The sequence below is a fragment of the Homo sapiens genome, chromosome 13 (genome assembly GCF_000001405.40).
Source record: "Homo sapiens chromosome 13, GRCh38.p14 Primary Assembly".
Classification (NCBI taxonomy): Eukaryota; Metazoa; Chordata; class Mammalia; order Primates; family Hominidae; genus Homo; species Homo sapiens.
In genome coordinates this window covers 36,430,136-36,443,177 of record NC_000013.11, presented here as the reverse complement: position 1 = coordinate 36,443,177, position 13,042 = coordinate 36,430,136, and the positions used below count along the sequence as shown (strand labels likewise).

At 43.4% G+C, this 13,042-nt stretch overlaps 1 protein-coding gene across 7 annotated transcripts, besides 4 other annotated features; it reads right to left on the bottom strand.

Annotated features, from left to right (window-relative positions):
• Positions 1 to 307: 307 nt before the first annotated feature.
• Positions 308 to 11,661, bottom strand: CCNA1 (cyclin A1). Of its 7 annotated transcripts, none has more exons than XM_011535294.3 (9): positions 11,402 to 11,661; positions 9,957 to 10,145; positions 5,303 to 5,549; positions 4,987 to 5,111; positions 4,311 to 4,534; positions 2,995 to 3,199; positions 1,947 to 2,060; positions 874 to 1,007; positions 308 to 564 (listed from the first exon to the last, which is right to left on the bottom strand). In XM_011535294.3, exons 2-9 carry the CDS (start codon positions 10,119 to 10,121, stop codon positions 513 to 515), a joined length of 1,266 nt encoding a protein of 421 aa, XP_011533596.1. In that variant the 5' UTR covers positions 10,122 to 10,145; positions 11,402 to 11,661; the 3' UTR covers positions 308 to 512. The 7 variants fall into 7 exon arrangements, with proteins under 7 accessions (XP_011533596.1, XP_011533597.1, NP_001104516.1 ...); XM_011535295.3 differs by having other exon boundaries at positions 9,957 to 10,142; NM_001111046.2 differs by lacking the exon at positions 11,402 to 11,661 and adding an exon at positions 11,012 to 11,223.
• Positions 4,490 to 5,689: an enhancer, noted in NCBI's record as "CDK7 strongly-dependent group 2 enhancer chr13:37011626-37012825 (GRCh37/hg19 assembly coordinates)". NCBI's record gives its function as "activates an origin of replication core promoter dependent on BRD2, BRD4, P300/CBP, MED14 and CDK7 cofactors, with strong dependence on CDK7, by STARR-seq in HCT116 cells {active_cell/tissue: HCT116}" and the evidence as "EXISTENCE:reporter gene assay evidence [ECO:0000049][PMID:35650434]".
• Positions 10,790 to 10,949: a silencer, noted in NCBI's record as "silent region_5266". NCBI's record gives its function as "represses an Ori minimal core promoter by ATAC-STARR-seq in GM12878 lymphoblastoid cells {active_cell/tissue: GM12878}" and the evidence as "EXISTENCE:reporter gene assay evidence [ECO:0000049][PMID:35858748]".
• Positions 10,980 to 11,029: a silencer, noted in NCBI's record as "silent region_5265". NCBI's record gives its function as "represses an Ori minimal core promoter by ATAC-STARR-seq in GM12878 lymphoblastoid cells {active_cell/tissue: GM12878}" and the evidence as "EXISTENCE:reporter gene assay evidence [ECO:0000049][PMID:35858748]".
• Positions 11,310 to 11,379: a silencer, noted in NCBI's record as "silent region_5264". NCBI's record gives its function as "represses an Ori minimal core promoter by ATAC-STARR-seq in GM12878 lymphoblastoid cells {active_cell/tissue: GM12878}" and the evidence as "EXISTENCE:reporter gene assay evidence [ECO:0000049][PMID:35858748]".
• Positions 11,662 to 13,042: the final 1,381 nt, after the last annotated feature.

Below are 13,042 nucleotides of genomic sequence, written 5' to 3'. Positions count from 1 at the left end.
CTAGAGCAGGCAGCGCATATTCAAATCTCTTCACCCATCTGTCTACGCTGTCCCTTCCTTCCTTTACTAATCTATGGCGAGCTACCTGGGGAATAAAGAGACAGGAAGGAAAAAAGCCTCAAAGCGGCCATTTACCAAACATGAATATCCCTGGATGCCTTGGAATACTTAATCCTAATAGCATGCCACGTTTACAAAACCAGTTTTGAAGAATATTTGAAATAGACATAACACTTTTAATACTCTCAACAAACATTCCAGACGAATATGTCAGCCATGATAATTAGTAAATAAATCTAACACATGGTCATAAGACAAGCAGTTTATTGTTTAAAAAATGTTGGACTATATTACAAACTACTAAAGTCTAAGGGAAACTAAATTCATTTACATTTTTAAAATGTCATCTATATTGTAAACAACATTAGTTGATCCAACGTGCAGAAGCCTATGACGATTATTGGCACTTCTGATATGGAGGTGAAGTTCTGGAAGTGCTTCCATTCAGAAACTTATTGTAGAAGAAGAACTGCAGGTGGCTCCATGAGGGACACACACAGGTACCTGAAACAAGACCCAAAGCAAGGTCAGCACAAGCCAAGGACTTTGGTTTGATAAAATCTCAGGTCACAGAAAACTTTCCAGTAGTTTTAACAGAATGGAAGGAAGGAAGCTGGCTGACTACAAGTATTAAAAGCTGACAAATTATAAATCTAGGTCTTTTCAAATTTATTTGTAAATTTGTACACGTACCCTTACTTTTCCAACCTGGCACCAGATACACAATTTAATCTATTTTTAATCTAGTAACCATTACTATAACCCATTAAGCTTTAAATAGAGAGCTAAGATATGAAAATGTCAGTGACTTACTTTGAAGCCTTGTACTTCTCCCTAATTGCTTGCTGAGGTCGATGGGGTATATCAAGGTACGCTTTATGAAGCTCACTCAGGCAAGGCACAATTTCACTTAATGAATACCCTGTAAATGCAGCAAGGGTTTCTGGCTAATCAAGACAAAAGAAAAAAATTGCTTCACATAACTTTATATTAGATATCCGAAGATAACCAATTTGAAATAAAGGGAATTAGTCCCTTAGTAAATATTCACATTCATCTCGAAAGAGACCAGAACCCCCTTCAGAGATTTTAGATGTAAAATATCAGAAAGAACAGCCAAGGCTCTAAATTTTCTCATATTATAAATTTATAATGCTCAATTTGGGGCTGGATCACTTTTTCCTTGTTCCCTCATGAGTGAAATTTTTACTGGTCCTTATAGAGCCCTGCTTGCCTGACCATTCTATTTGTACACAACATGAAAAATTTTTAGTCAAAACACTGCAGTGCTGGAATAAGAATTACTTAAAAAAAAGTAAAAGAAAATTTTTAAAAAAAGAAAATGCAGCAGAAAAAAACATAAGCATTCATGAAAATAAGGGTAGACACCCCACTTCTTTTAGTACAACAGTGAGCCTTCAGAACCAAACCTAGGGGTCCATTTCTGATGTTGCCACCTTCTTGGGCAAGAGGCAACACTTTACTGCCCTGTTGTCTTGAAAGCCTGAGGTGCAATCTTCTGGCCATCCTAATTGGACCTAGGTTTTTGTTTTTAATATAGAAGGTAAAAGTCAACAACTTTTGCTTGAAGCAGTCAATGATTGTACCTCAAGGGCCCTCCCTGAATAACAGTGGGCACTGAGGTTCCCAGGCCTGCTTCTGTTGAAGGAGCATGTGATGCTGTCTCCTTGACTTCCTGCAATCTCAGTCCTCATAGAGTGAAGCCATTGAGTCAAAGCCATCATGACTGACCTGGAAGACTCAGTGGCATGTTGTGGTCTGCTGTCAAGTTGACCAGATCCTTATTAAACTAACTTGCCCTCATAAGAGGCAAGCCCATTCTAGATAGACCTTGAATTTCATCTAGAAAGAAGTTAGAATCTTACCCAAAAGTGCTTGTTCACAGTATAGTTTGCCAGGCAAAAAGCTGCTGCAGCTATCAGTGAAGGAAGATATTTCAAGAATGGATCTGCTTCAAGTAGACTCAGCTCTGCTACGTACTAAGCACAAGAGAAGAAAACACATTGGAATTAGAAATGTGACTAAGGTCACAAGTAAGCCTGGAAATGGCAAGGAAATAAATGGTATCTTATCTTTGTTCAGTCGGCATCTACAAAAATAGATGCTCAAAATTACTTACTGGGTTAGTAATTGGTATGCCTGTCTATAACAACAGTAACATTTATGTTTTGGTAAAATGTCAATACAAAAGTATTTGGCCTACTCAAAGTATAGGTGATAGGTTACTTTTCTTATGCTAATAGTTTAGGTTTATGCTGAGATAAAGTGGTACTGCTCTGGCAGCTGGAATTGGAACAGAGATTTTAGCCAAAAGACAAAAATATTAAAGCTATTAATCTATCAGGCAGTTCAGAGACTAGGACAGCACCAGTGGGAATATCTCATATTAGAAGAAACATAGTAAAACATGTGGACATCCTTATTACCCTTTGCACAGCACATAAATACCAGATATCCTAGATTATGGTCACTGGAAACCCAGTTGACCAAAGCAATACTTCAATGCCTTCAACTAAAGTTCTGTAACTCCAAACAACCAAATAATGCTCATTACTTAATATATTAGGATGAGACTAAAACCTTATTAAACTAGATTTACTTTGTTCCCACTCTATAAACCTAGGAGGTTTTGCTTGTATGTGGTCTGTATCCAATAAGAGAACAGTTTCCAAGCTTAAATTTTTAAATAGTTGGGTGATTAGACAACCCGTGCCTGCCAAATATAGTCAATAGTAATGCCTTATAACCAAAAGCTGGGTTCTTAAAATTAGCTCTTTTTCAGCACTGGAACAGTTTTTCTGGGCCTGTGGGAAGAAAACTGAAAAGGAAAAAAGAACTGAAGGATGATTGGGAAAGGTTGATTTTTACGCTCCTTGGCACTGGAAGTTCCTAGAAATCACGCGGCATACACACCTTAGCCAGGTTCTCAGTCCTGACGCACACTCCTTGTCGCCTCAAGTACTGAAGGAGAAACTGGTTGGTGGTTGGTACTGTCAGATCAAAAGCTAGAACTTTCAGAAGCAAGTGTTCCATTTTTAACAGTTGTCGTTTTGTGTATGTATCATCGGTGATATAGACAAACTCGTCTACTTCAGGAGGATATATCTCTTCATATTTCCTGGGAAAGGAAGAGTTTTCAGAAGTAAAACTTAGAACCTTTGGCTCTACTCCTGTGCTACCATAAGCCACGCCTCTCCGCATGGCCCTTGCAGACTTACTTTGCAGCCACATATCCACTTAAATACCACTAAATGACTCAGGGCTATGAAAGTACTAGGAGCTTGTTTCTGGACCAAGAACATGATTATCACAAGGATAGGTTATATTTACTGCTAGGAGTAGTAACAGAAACAATTTCCAACCAAGAATTTTAGGTTTGGGCCTGTGATACACTGAAAGATTCTGAATGACAGACACTACAGGTAAATTCCTACACATTCTACAGACCTCAAATCACTTCATAGAAAAAAGTGTTAAGATCAACACAGTGATAGAAACAAACTCCACAGGCCTCTAGTTTTTAAAAAGATGCTGTTCAACTTTGTCCACTGAATTAGCAAATGATGCTTATAGCCAAGAGACATAATGATATAATTTCACTATGATCAATTCTTTCCTTCTGCCTTTGTTTCTACTTTCTTTAGGGGAATTTTGGCAAGTTTTTCTGCATTAACAATAGAATGTTTGAGACCAGAAGAACAGAAAAGAAACTACCACTCAGCAACAGGTCACTTAAAGGTAGCTCAGCCACAACCCAGCTCTCTTTTCCCACACAATTAGGTACTTTCATGAATGAATGATAGTAACAGGAACCAGTTGAAGTAGTTTATTCACTGTAACCAAATAAACCTGTTATTATGGGTCATTTGCTAGATCATGAAGATAGCTTTTTGTAACCACACTGTCTTTAAATAGGACTTAATAGATAGGAAATAGCAAAAAGACTACACTGCAAAATAGTTAAATTAGATCCTGAATTTGAGATGATGGCTGCCTTAGTCATGACACTGAACTTGTTGCTATAAATCATAACCAGGTGATTGAAGAGTAAACATGTGGTAAGTTTCAGTTTCTCAGTCAATCCTGTGAAGAGGATGATCTTTTATCAAAGGACACATGACTAGTTTTAATTATCAAGCATTGCATTTCTTCAATAAGAAATAGAGGACAAAAATTCCATGTTTTGACAAGTGATAGTTTCATATTATGCAAGCTGAAAGAACACTTACGAAGCCAAAAGCATAGCTGCTGTTCCTACGAGCTGCAGTTTCCCTCTCAGAACAGACATACATGAAAGGAACCTGTCCAGGAAGTTGACAGCCAGATACAGGGTCTCTGCTCGAAGTTTATATTCTTCCCCAACCTCCACCAGCCAGTCCACCAGAATCGTGCGCATGCCTTCCGTGATGTCTGGCTGCTTCTTCATGTAGTGTGCTTTGGGTCTGTGCCTTATCTGATTGGGAAAAGGTTTTGATATTTAGTAGTTGCAATTTCAGAAAGATCATTCCACAATATAGTTGCTATTTAAAAATCTCACAAGCAAAGGTTGGAAAGATTCTGATCAGAGCCAAATAAATCTTTATCATAACAAGGAAGAAAGTGTAAATTTCTGGTTCTGTAAAGTAATTGGTTAGCAAATTAACCTGGGGTTGGGGGGGCAGGGGAGAATGGCAATATGAATTATTCCTAAGAGTGAAATATTTAACATATAAACCCTTTGAATCATGTAGAAATAGTCCAAGCAATTGCGACTTGCCATCACAACTATTATTTTTCATAGATATTCTTATGTTTAGCTGGCATAAGAGTGCCATTCACTAGTGGTTATGGACCAAGAGTTTATAATTTATCTTAGTAATAAGAGCTCGGGTCCTGAAGATTGAAGTAGAAGGTGGGAAAACTTACTTCAGCTTCCCTAAGGTACTGATAAATTTCTTCAGCATATTCAGTCACATTTATCACATCTGTGCCAAGACTGGATATATCTTCAGACTGGGAGAGGAGAGATGAATCTACCAGCATAGGGGAAACTGCAAGAGTTCAACACTGTCAGATAACTCATTTAATTTAAACATTTGTTCAATCCACTAACCCTCTACAGGCAGTTGTGAATACAGTTATTACTTGCTGTTTTTCTCTTGCTAGTTACTAGCTATTGAATGCTGCAGGCAGTTATAAATACAGGGTACCATCAGCCATCAACCATAGGCAAGTCAGTTACCTGTGTTGAAATCCAGCAGGAAGTGCAGGTCTGACTTGAGTGTGCCGGTGTCTACTTCATACACATCCTCAAATGCCATCCCCTCTCTGACCGAGCAGCTGTCTCTGTCCCCCTGCTCTAGTTCATCCATGTAGATGTCAAACCCTTGCTTGGGGGGCTCTTGGACCCCACAGTCAGGGAGTGCTTTCTTTCCAGCTGGAGGGAAGGCATTTTCTGATCCAGAATAACACCTGATTCTTGTGATCCCCTAAAAAACGTTTAAATCTTTTGTTAGAGGCCACGTCAAAGACCACAGAGGCAATGTGAACCTGCATGACTCAAACCAACAGCCTGGGAAGGTAAGATACATTCTAAACTGAAAAATCTATGTCGGCAATTTAATTCCAAAAAAAAAAGGTCTTCAAAAGTGTAATTTTTCCCCCCTTATCTTTGTCTACATTTGATATTTGGAGAAAGAGCTACCTAAAATTTTAATCTACCTCACATATGTATCAAAGGAAACTCAAGATTGTAGAAAAAAGAAAACCTATAGCTCTCTTCCAAAATGAAATGGGTACCACATATAAAGGGAAAACTGTAAATTGGCTTTCATATTTATAGCATCATGAGATTTTATAAGTAGTCAGCATAACTCTTGATGCAGTGACTGAGTTCCTACAATTCCCCTCCTTAAATAAATAACTTTTTAGCCAGAAGGCCCCTATAATGTTTCCATTTTATATCCACTTATTAAGAAACACGATTTTGGAAACTGATGCTGCTAAATTCTCTTACAAGCCACAGAACCTTTACGTATGACATAATGCATTTACTCTTGGGGAAATTTCTTAGTCACTTCTCCTTTTTCTCTATTCTTATAACATGAACAATGGGAACAACTGTGGTGCCGCCACAGTGAACAAGCATAATGCATCAAACACTGTTGCATATTAAGGTGAGCCATGCCAGATGGCATGAATGTCAGCTGAATCAGGGCAGGTGGGCAGCTCTATGAACCTGAGCTATATTTACGCAAATGCCAGCTCTGTCTACCACATTAACATTTTGTTTATAATGTATCTTGGTGTGTACTGTTGAAGGCTACTTCTAAGTTAGTAGGTGGTTCCATAACTCTCCCTTTTATTTATCAAGTTAAATAGGTGACTTATGTCTGTAAGAAAACGAACACTTATGGTAGTAATTGGGGGGAAATCACAAAGACAACAAAGAGTCACAATCATAAGTTACTGTAACCAGATAACCAAGTTACTGCGAAGTTTGACTCTTGCTACAACCACAGCTCCAAGTTACTGCCAGGTTTGACTCTTGCTACATAGATACTGTGTCCATAGGCTGGGACATATATTTAATAAACAAATATTTACTGAGTATCTACTATGTGCTAGAAGCTTTTCTCGTGCCCAGAATTTAGCAGTGAACAAAATGTTTAAAAAGAACTACCTTGATGGAGTTTATATTCTAGTCTGTGGAAGAAGACTGAAACAAACTAGAAAAGACACAGTAGGAGCAAACAGAGCAGAGTGAGACAGTCATATAGGCCATGAGGACAGAAAGAAAAAAGAGGCCAATCATGAAGCACTTACCATAGGCCAATTAAGGATTAGTTTTCATTACTATTATTTTGTTTTTGTTCACTTGCCAAGGCTGATCTAAGAATTGGCTTTTATTCAGAGACAGGAGCCACTGGAATTTTGGGCAAAGGAGTGGCATAATCTTTTCATTTCTTAAAAGGATGATTCTGGCTGTGCACAGGTGGAGAGTAAGTAAGCCAATCAATTACAAAACTTGAAAATTCTAAGTGAGACACAATAGGGATTTGAACCAGGGAAGTAATTGTAAACCATGAAGAGCAAAATAGTTCTAGACATTTAAAAAGTAGAGTTAATAATATTTTCTCATAAGATTAGATGTGGGGTGAGAGAAAAATAAGAATCGAGGAAGACAAAGGTTTGGAGGCTAAATAACAGAAAGGATGGCTACTCCATTTACTGAGACAAGGAAGACTTGGGAAGAGCAGTCTGGGAGTAGGGAAAAGGATGGGTGTTTCGTTTTATACGTTGCTTATTATATGACCTAAGTGGAGATGCCAAGTAGGCTCCTGAATATGTGAGCCTGCAATAAACCTCAGAGGCCCAGGCCAGAGATAGAAATATCAGTCATCACCAAATAGAGAGTGTTTAATGCTAGGAGACTAAGAGGCTACTAAGGGAGTGAGTGCAAGATTTAGATCAAAGACTAGGTCCTAGGGCACTCTAACTTGTACAGACTATATATATAAGTAACAATTAGAATATCAAACAGTGGCCAATGAGCTAGGTAGAAAACTTGGAGAGAGTGGTGTTCTACAAGCTGAATGAGAAGAAATTATTTCAAGGAAAAAATAATGATCAGCCATGTCAAATAATGCTGATCAGTCGAGGAAGGAAAAGACTATGAATTGAGTCCAAATAGAGCAGGAAAAGAACTAGAGACAGAGAACATTCATCCAACAAACAATGTGTGCCATCCTGGCCAGGCCCAGGTCTGTTCAAAGTAATGGACACACAACAGTGAACATGACAACCTAAATCAACACCTGGATGGAGCTTACATGTTAGTGGGAAAGGCAACATTATATATGTCAAGATACGACAAACTCTCAAGATATGTGGCTTTAAATGGGATAGCTTCTGTCCCATTACTTAAATTTCTTTAAGCACTTAAATTACTTTAATCGACATAATGCAAACAGCTCCTAGACCTATTTCCTTGATATTGGAAAACTAACAAAGAAAATTCGTCACCATTTCTAGCTGAAAAAGGGACCGGTCAAGGTGATTTTACAAAGTCAACTTCTTCCCTGTGGTCCAGATTCCAGGGTTGTAATACTCAGAGGGAGCGTTTAGTTGAAAGGTTTTTAAGATGGGAAAATGGCAATATATTTGTATGCTTACAGATTTGGCCCAGTAGAAAAGAAAAAACTCATGAGAGAAAGAAAAGTGGCTAGAGTAACATCCTTGAAGAAGCAAGAAGACACGAGTATATTGTACGCATGGCGCGGGGGGGGGGGCACCTCTCATGACAGCAGGGACATAGCAGTCACATAACAGGATGTAGATGGCAGATTATATGGCACACAGGGACATGTGGAGATTCTCTTCTGCTTGCTTCTATATTTTTAGGAAAATAAGATACAAAGTGATCAGCTGAGACTGGGCATGAAGGAGGAGGTTACTGAGGATTAAACAGAGAAGGGAAGGTACAAAATAGATTTCTAAGCAGGTTGTAGAGGATAGGTACAGGGAAATGCAGAAGTGGCACCAGGTAACATAAGAGGTTAGCAACTGGGAATTTAAAATGCGACCATTCAACACAGGCACAACTGACAATTCATAAGAACCAAGTCTCAGGCGTTAAGTTTTAAAAAGCAAACATTGCTAAGCAAATTAAAATTTGTTAAAACCACTTCCACTCAATTTTCTCCAAAGCTTTGAACAGAGCATGTGAAGAGTCAGTAGATGAGAGGCTTCTAATCTAGTTTCTACCATAGCTTTCTTTTGGCAGAGGCTTAAACCTTTCAGATTTTCTCACTTATGAAATAGGAAAGGTATAGTTTTCAGTCTGGTTAAGGTATCTATGATCAGTTAAGTTCACACAACTAATATCTGAGGGACCATTACCTGTTAGCATAGCTGCTTAGTCAGTACTGGGAAGATGTCTGCCTTCAAAGCACCCATTTTGGAGTAATCTAATCTAGCCTGATCTAATCCTGATTTTAACACTATCCGCAATGAACACAGCCAAGATTATCCAGGTTTGCTTTAGGCACAGCCTGCATCAATGTGAACACTGCTCTAACCTGGAGGAACCCCAGTTCCACAGTTTATTTGGAAGCATTCACATTTCCTTTTAGCCCAGCCCTTAAATTACTTTAATATACATAACCCAAACAGTTCCTAGACCTATTTCCTTGATAGTGGAAAAAATAACAAAGAAAACTAATCACTATTTCTAGCTGAAAACCGAACCCCTCAAGGTGATCTTAAGAAATCAACTGGCCTGCCACCGTGGCTGACGCCTGTAATCCCAACACTTTGGGAGGCCGAGGTGGGCGGGTCACCTGAGGTCAGGAGTTGGTGACCAGCCTGGCCAACATGGTGAAATCCCATCTCTACTAAAAACACAAAAATTAGCCGGGCGTGGTGGTGGGTGCCTGAAATCCCAGCTACTCGGGAGGCTGAGGCAGGAGAATCGCTTGAACCCGGGAGGTGGAGGTTGCAGTGAGCCGAGATCGCGTCACTGCACTCCAGCCTGGCGACAAGAGCGAAACTCCGTCTCAAAAAAAAAAAAAGAAGGAAAGGAAAGGAAAGAAAAAAAAAGGAAAGGAAGAAGGAAGAGAAACAAAGAAAAAGAAAGAAGGAAAGAAAGAGAAAGAAAAGAAAGAAAGAAAGAACGAAAGAAAGAAAGAAAGAAAGAAAGAAAGAAAGAAAGAAAGAAAGAAAGAAAGAAAGAAAGAAAGAAAGAAAATAAATCAATCAACTTTCCTGTAGTCCAGATTCCAGGGTTGTAATACTCAGGGGGAGTTGTAGGTACAAGGGCAAGAGAAAAGCACCTGGCACCAAAGCAGGAGAGCTGTTCTCCACAAGCATCATTCTCAATGCGTCTGAGTCATTACCTGGCCACAGGTCCTCCTGTACTGCCCATTTGCAGTTAGCAGCCCTAGCACTGTCCTCTGCGGGGGATCCTGGCCCAGCGGGGCTCTGGTGAGTATCTGACAAGCATCGGGACCTCGGGCCACTGTAGCCAGCACAACTCCACTCTTGGGGTTGCTGCAGTGCATTGCTTCAGACTCCACGGGCTGCTGCTACCAGGGAAAGAGAAACAGACAAGCTGTTTAGTCGATTCCGTCCACCCCGGGCTCCAAGGACACAGCGAACCTCTAGGAGGGAGAGCACCAAGCAATGGGACTAACACCAATTGCTGATCTTCCCAGTAATTATTGGGGCTGAAAGGGCAGGTGCGACCGCACAGGCGATCAAAGTTGCTCTGAATCAAAACAGTTATTTGAATCCCTGAGGGAGGCTTTTTATCCCAAGACTTCGTGTTGGGCTGGAAGGAGAGAAACATTCTGACAAGCCTCCAAGTCGGGATACTAAACCCACGTTACCTGGAAGACGAAATCTGGGAGCCCCGGTCCTTCCCAGCTGAGATACTCTTCTCCCCAGCCCCCAATAAAAGATCCAGGGTACATGATTGCGGGAAAGCCGGTCTCCATCCCAAGTGACGAGCAGGGTGCTGCGCTGCGGCCTCCTCCCACCAGACAGGAGGCCCCAAAACCTGCCTGGACCCCAAAGCGGGCCCCGCTCTTCCCGTCGTTATCTTTCTATGTGTCCGGAACAACTGGCAAGTGCACTGGAGGATCGCGGTTAAGAGGTGGCCGGCTGGGCGGGGCAGGGCGGGGCAGGGTTGGGCAGGGCCGGGCCGGGCCGGGCGGGGCAGGGCGGGGAAGGGCAGGGAAGGGCAGGGCACGGAAGGGCGGGGCGGGAAGGACCAAGTGTCGAGGGATTCCAGCCTGGGAGGCGGCCGGGCTTAGCGATGCGGCTGAGCTGCCCACCCGCGTCTGTTGAATCGGCCAATCAGCGGCGCCCCCGGACCTAGCGGGAGCGTTTCCATGCCGACCGCGGCAGGCGTGCGCTCTCCGGGGCCGCATCGCCATGGCGACCTGCTCACCTGACTCGCTCCGGGTGGACTCGCCGCGACCCCTGGGCGTTCAGGCCCCTGAGGGCCCAACGGGCGACGGCCCTCCAGCTCCAGCTGTGCGTCTCCGCCCGGGCGAGGTGGGGCTGACCGCGGCCGTCTGCACACGTCCCCTCTGGTCCGCGCCCCCGGCCTGGGAGGGCGGACTCGCCCACCCCACGATGGCCCCGGCTTTGGAAGGGACTGTTTCCGTGACCCGTTCTCCCAACAGCCGCTAACAACCCCCTCTAACGTCTCCTGCGCGGCCCGCTCCTGAGAACCCTGGCTCGGGAGAGCGACGCGGGGTCCTCGGGGCTGCGCAGGCTGCGGCGCCCTGCCCACGCTGGCCCGAGGGCGCGGCTCGCTCCGGGTCGGCTCACACACCTACGCTTCCTGCCGGGAGGCGGCTGGGACGCGGCGGGGCTGCCCCAAGTGCAGTCGCGGCAGTGTTGCGTCTCCATCGCGGGGGTCCTTGCGGGCCGCGCCTGCCCCGCCCGGCTCCCGGTGCATGTGGCCTGCGAGGCGGCAGAGGAGATGTGGGGATTTAGGGTCGCACGTCGTGCTCGAGGTCCCCACGAGAGGTCTTCCCCCGCGGGCTCCTGCGCAACTGCGTGAAGCCGGCCCGGGAAAGCCAAGATTGTGGCCCAGGAAGAGGAAGGAACGCGGGCGACAGAGCTGGGGCTTGGGACGTTGAGGGGGTCGGTGGCAGCTCTCCGGGCTGGGGGCCGGGCGGGCGGCCCGGCCGCGTGGGGAGAGGAGTCCCTGGGGTCCTTATACGGGGGGCTCCTGGAAACCCGGGGGCTCAGACGCCTGCATAGGTGACTGACAAGCCAGGTGAAATAATCGAACTTTATTTTTTTAAAAATAATATGTATATATGCACACACACATTACCAATGCTATAGTCTGTTACTACTTTTGCTTTTTTTAAAACATCCATCCCTAAATCTCTAAATCAGATCCAAAGTCTATTCAAATGGCCACTTTATGCAAGCAACGGTTATCACCGTTTTTCTAAGTGTGCGTTATTAACATTTTCACCAAGCAAACTGAGTGTGGACATTGCTTTAATGGGAAGATAGTAGTATTCTAACAAAAGCGCCGGTTGAAAGCCTTGCAGTTGAGGTAAATATTAAGAAGTTGGTAAGCATCTGGAGAATCAAGGCTGGATGAGGGAGGAACGCAGAAACGGATCTTGTTCAACATGAAACTCATTTCTATACGTTTGTCACAGACTTCTATTCCTTGAGAGACAGCAGTCCGCTTGCACCCCAGATTTCCTGTGCCTTTGAATATGAAGGAAACACGGGAATTCTGGTAACATCTAGATTGCCGCAACAGAGAGTCAGAGGCCAACGGGGACCAAATGCTCTGCTTCGAAAGGTGAATGAAAGGAGCATTTCTGTCCTCTTGCCTGACGCCACTATTGGATATCTTCCCGGGCGCCCTCCCCCACCTGCCAACAGTGTTGTTATTTCCTGGGTCGCTGAAGGACTCAGTGGCTAACTCCGTCTGGGACTCTACAGCAAGTCCTGCCAAGAGCCTGAGTCGCTTGGGAGCGGACAAGATTGGCTGCGCTCACGAGACCTGGTCCTTTGTACACCCCTTTTCATCTGATTTCCTTTGACAAAAATGACCGAAACCTCACGCCCTTTTCCTTTTCTCCAAAGTAGAGGCGCCGGCGCAGTGTTTGTTCGTGGAACCTGTCGTTTTGATCCACTTTTCTGGGATTGAAGCTGAAGCCAGTGTTGGAGTCGGGGCGTGCAGGGAGTGGGGAGCGCCCAACTCCTGCAGAGGCGGATCTGAGGCTGGTTTTTCTCAACTCAGATCTGGCCAGGACCAGATGACAAGGCTACAAAGGTGTCCAGTGACTTTCAGCCGTCTTTAGCCTTAAAAAAGCCTTAAGAAATAATAGTAACCAAATGAGACCTTCGGATAATTTAATACCCCTCCCCTTATCTGAATGGCTGCACCTTAATCCAGCCTTAATCTATATGAAATAGGATTATCATGAACATCTTTTTT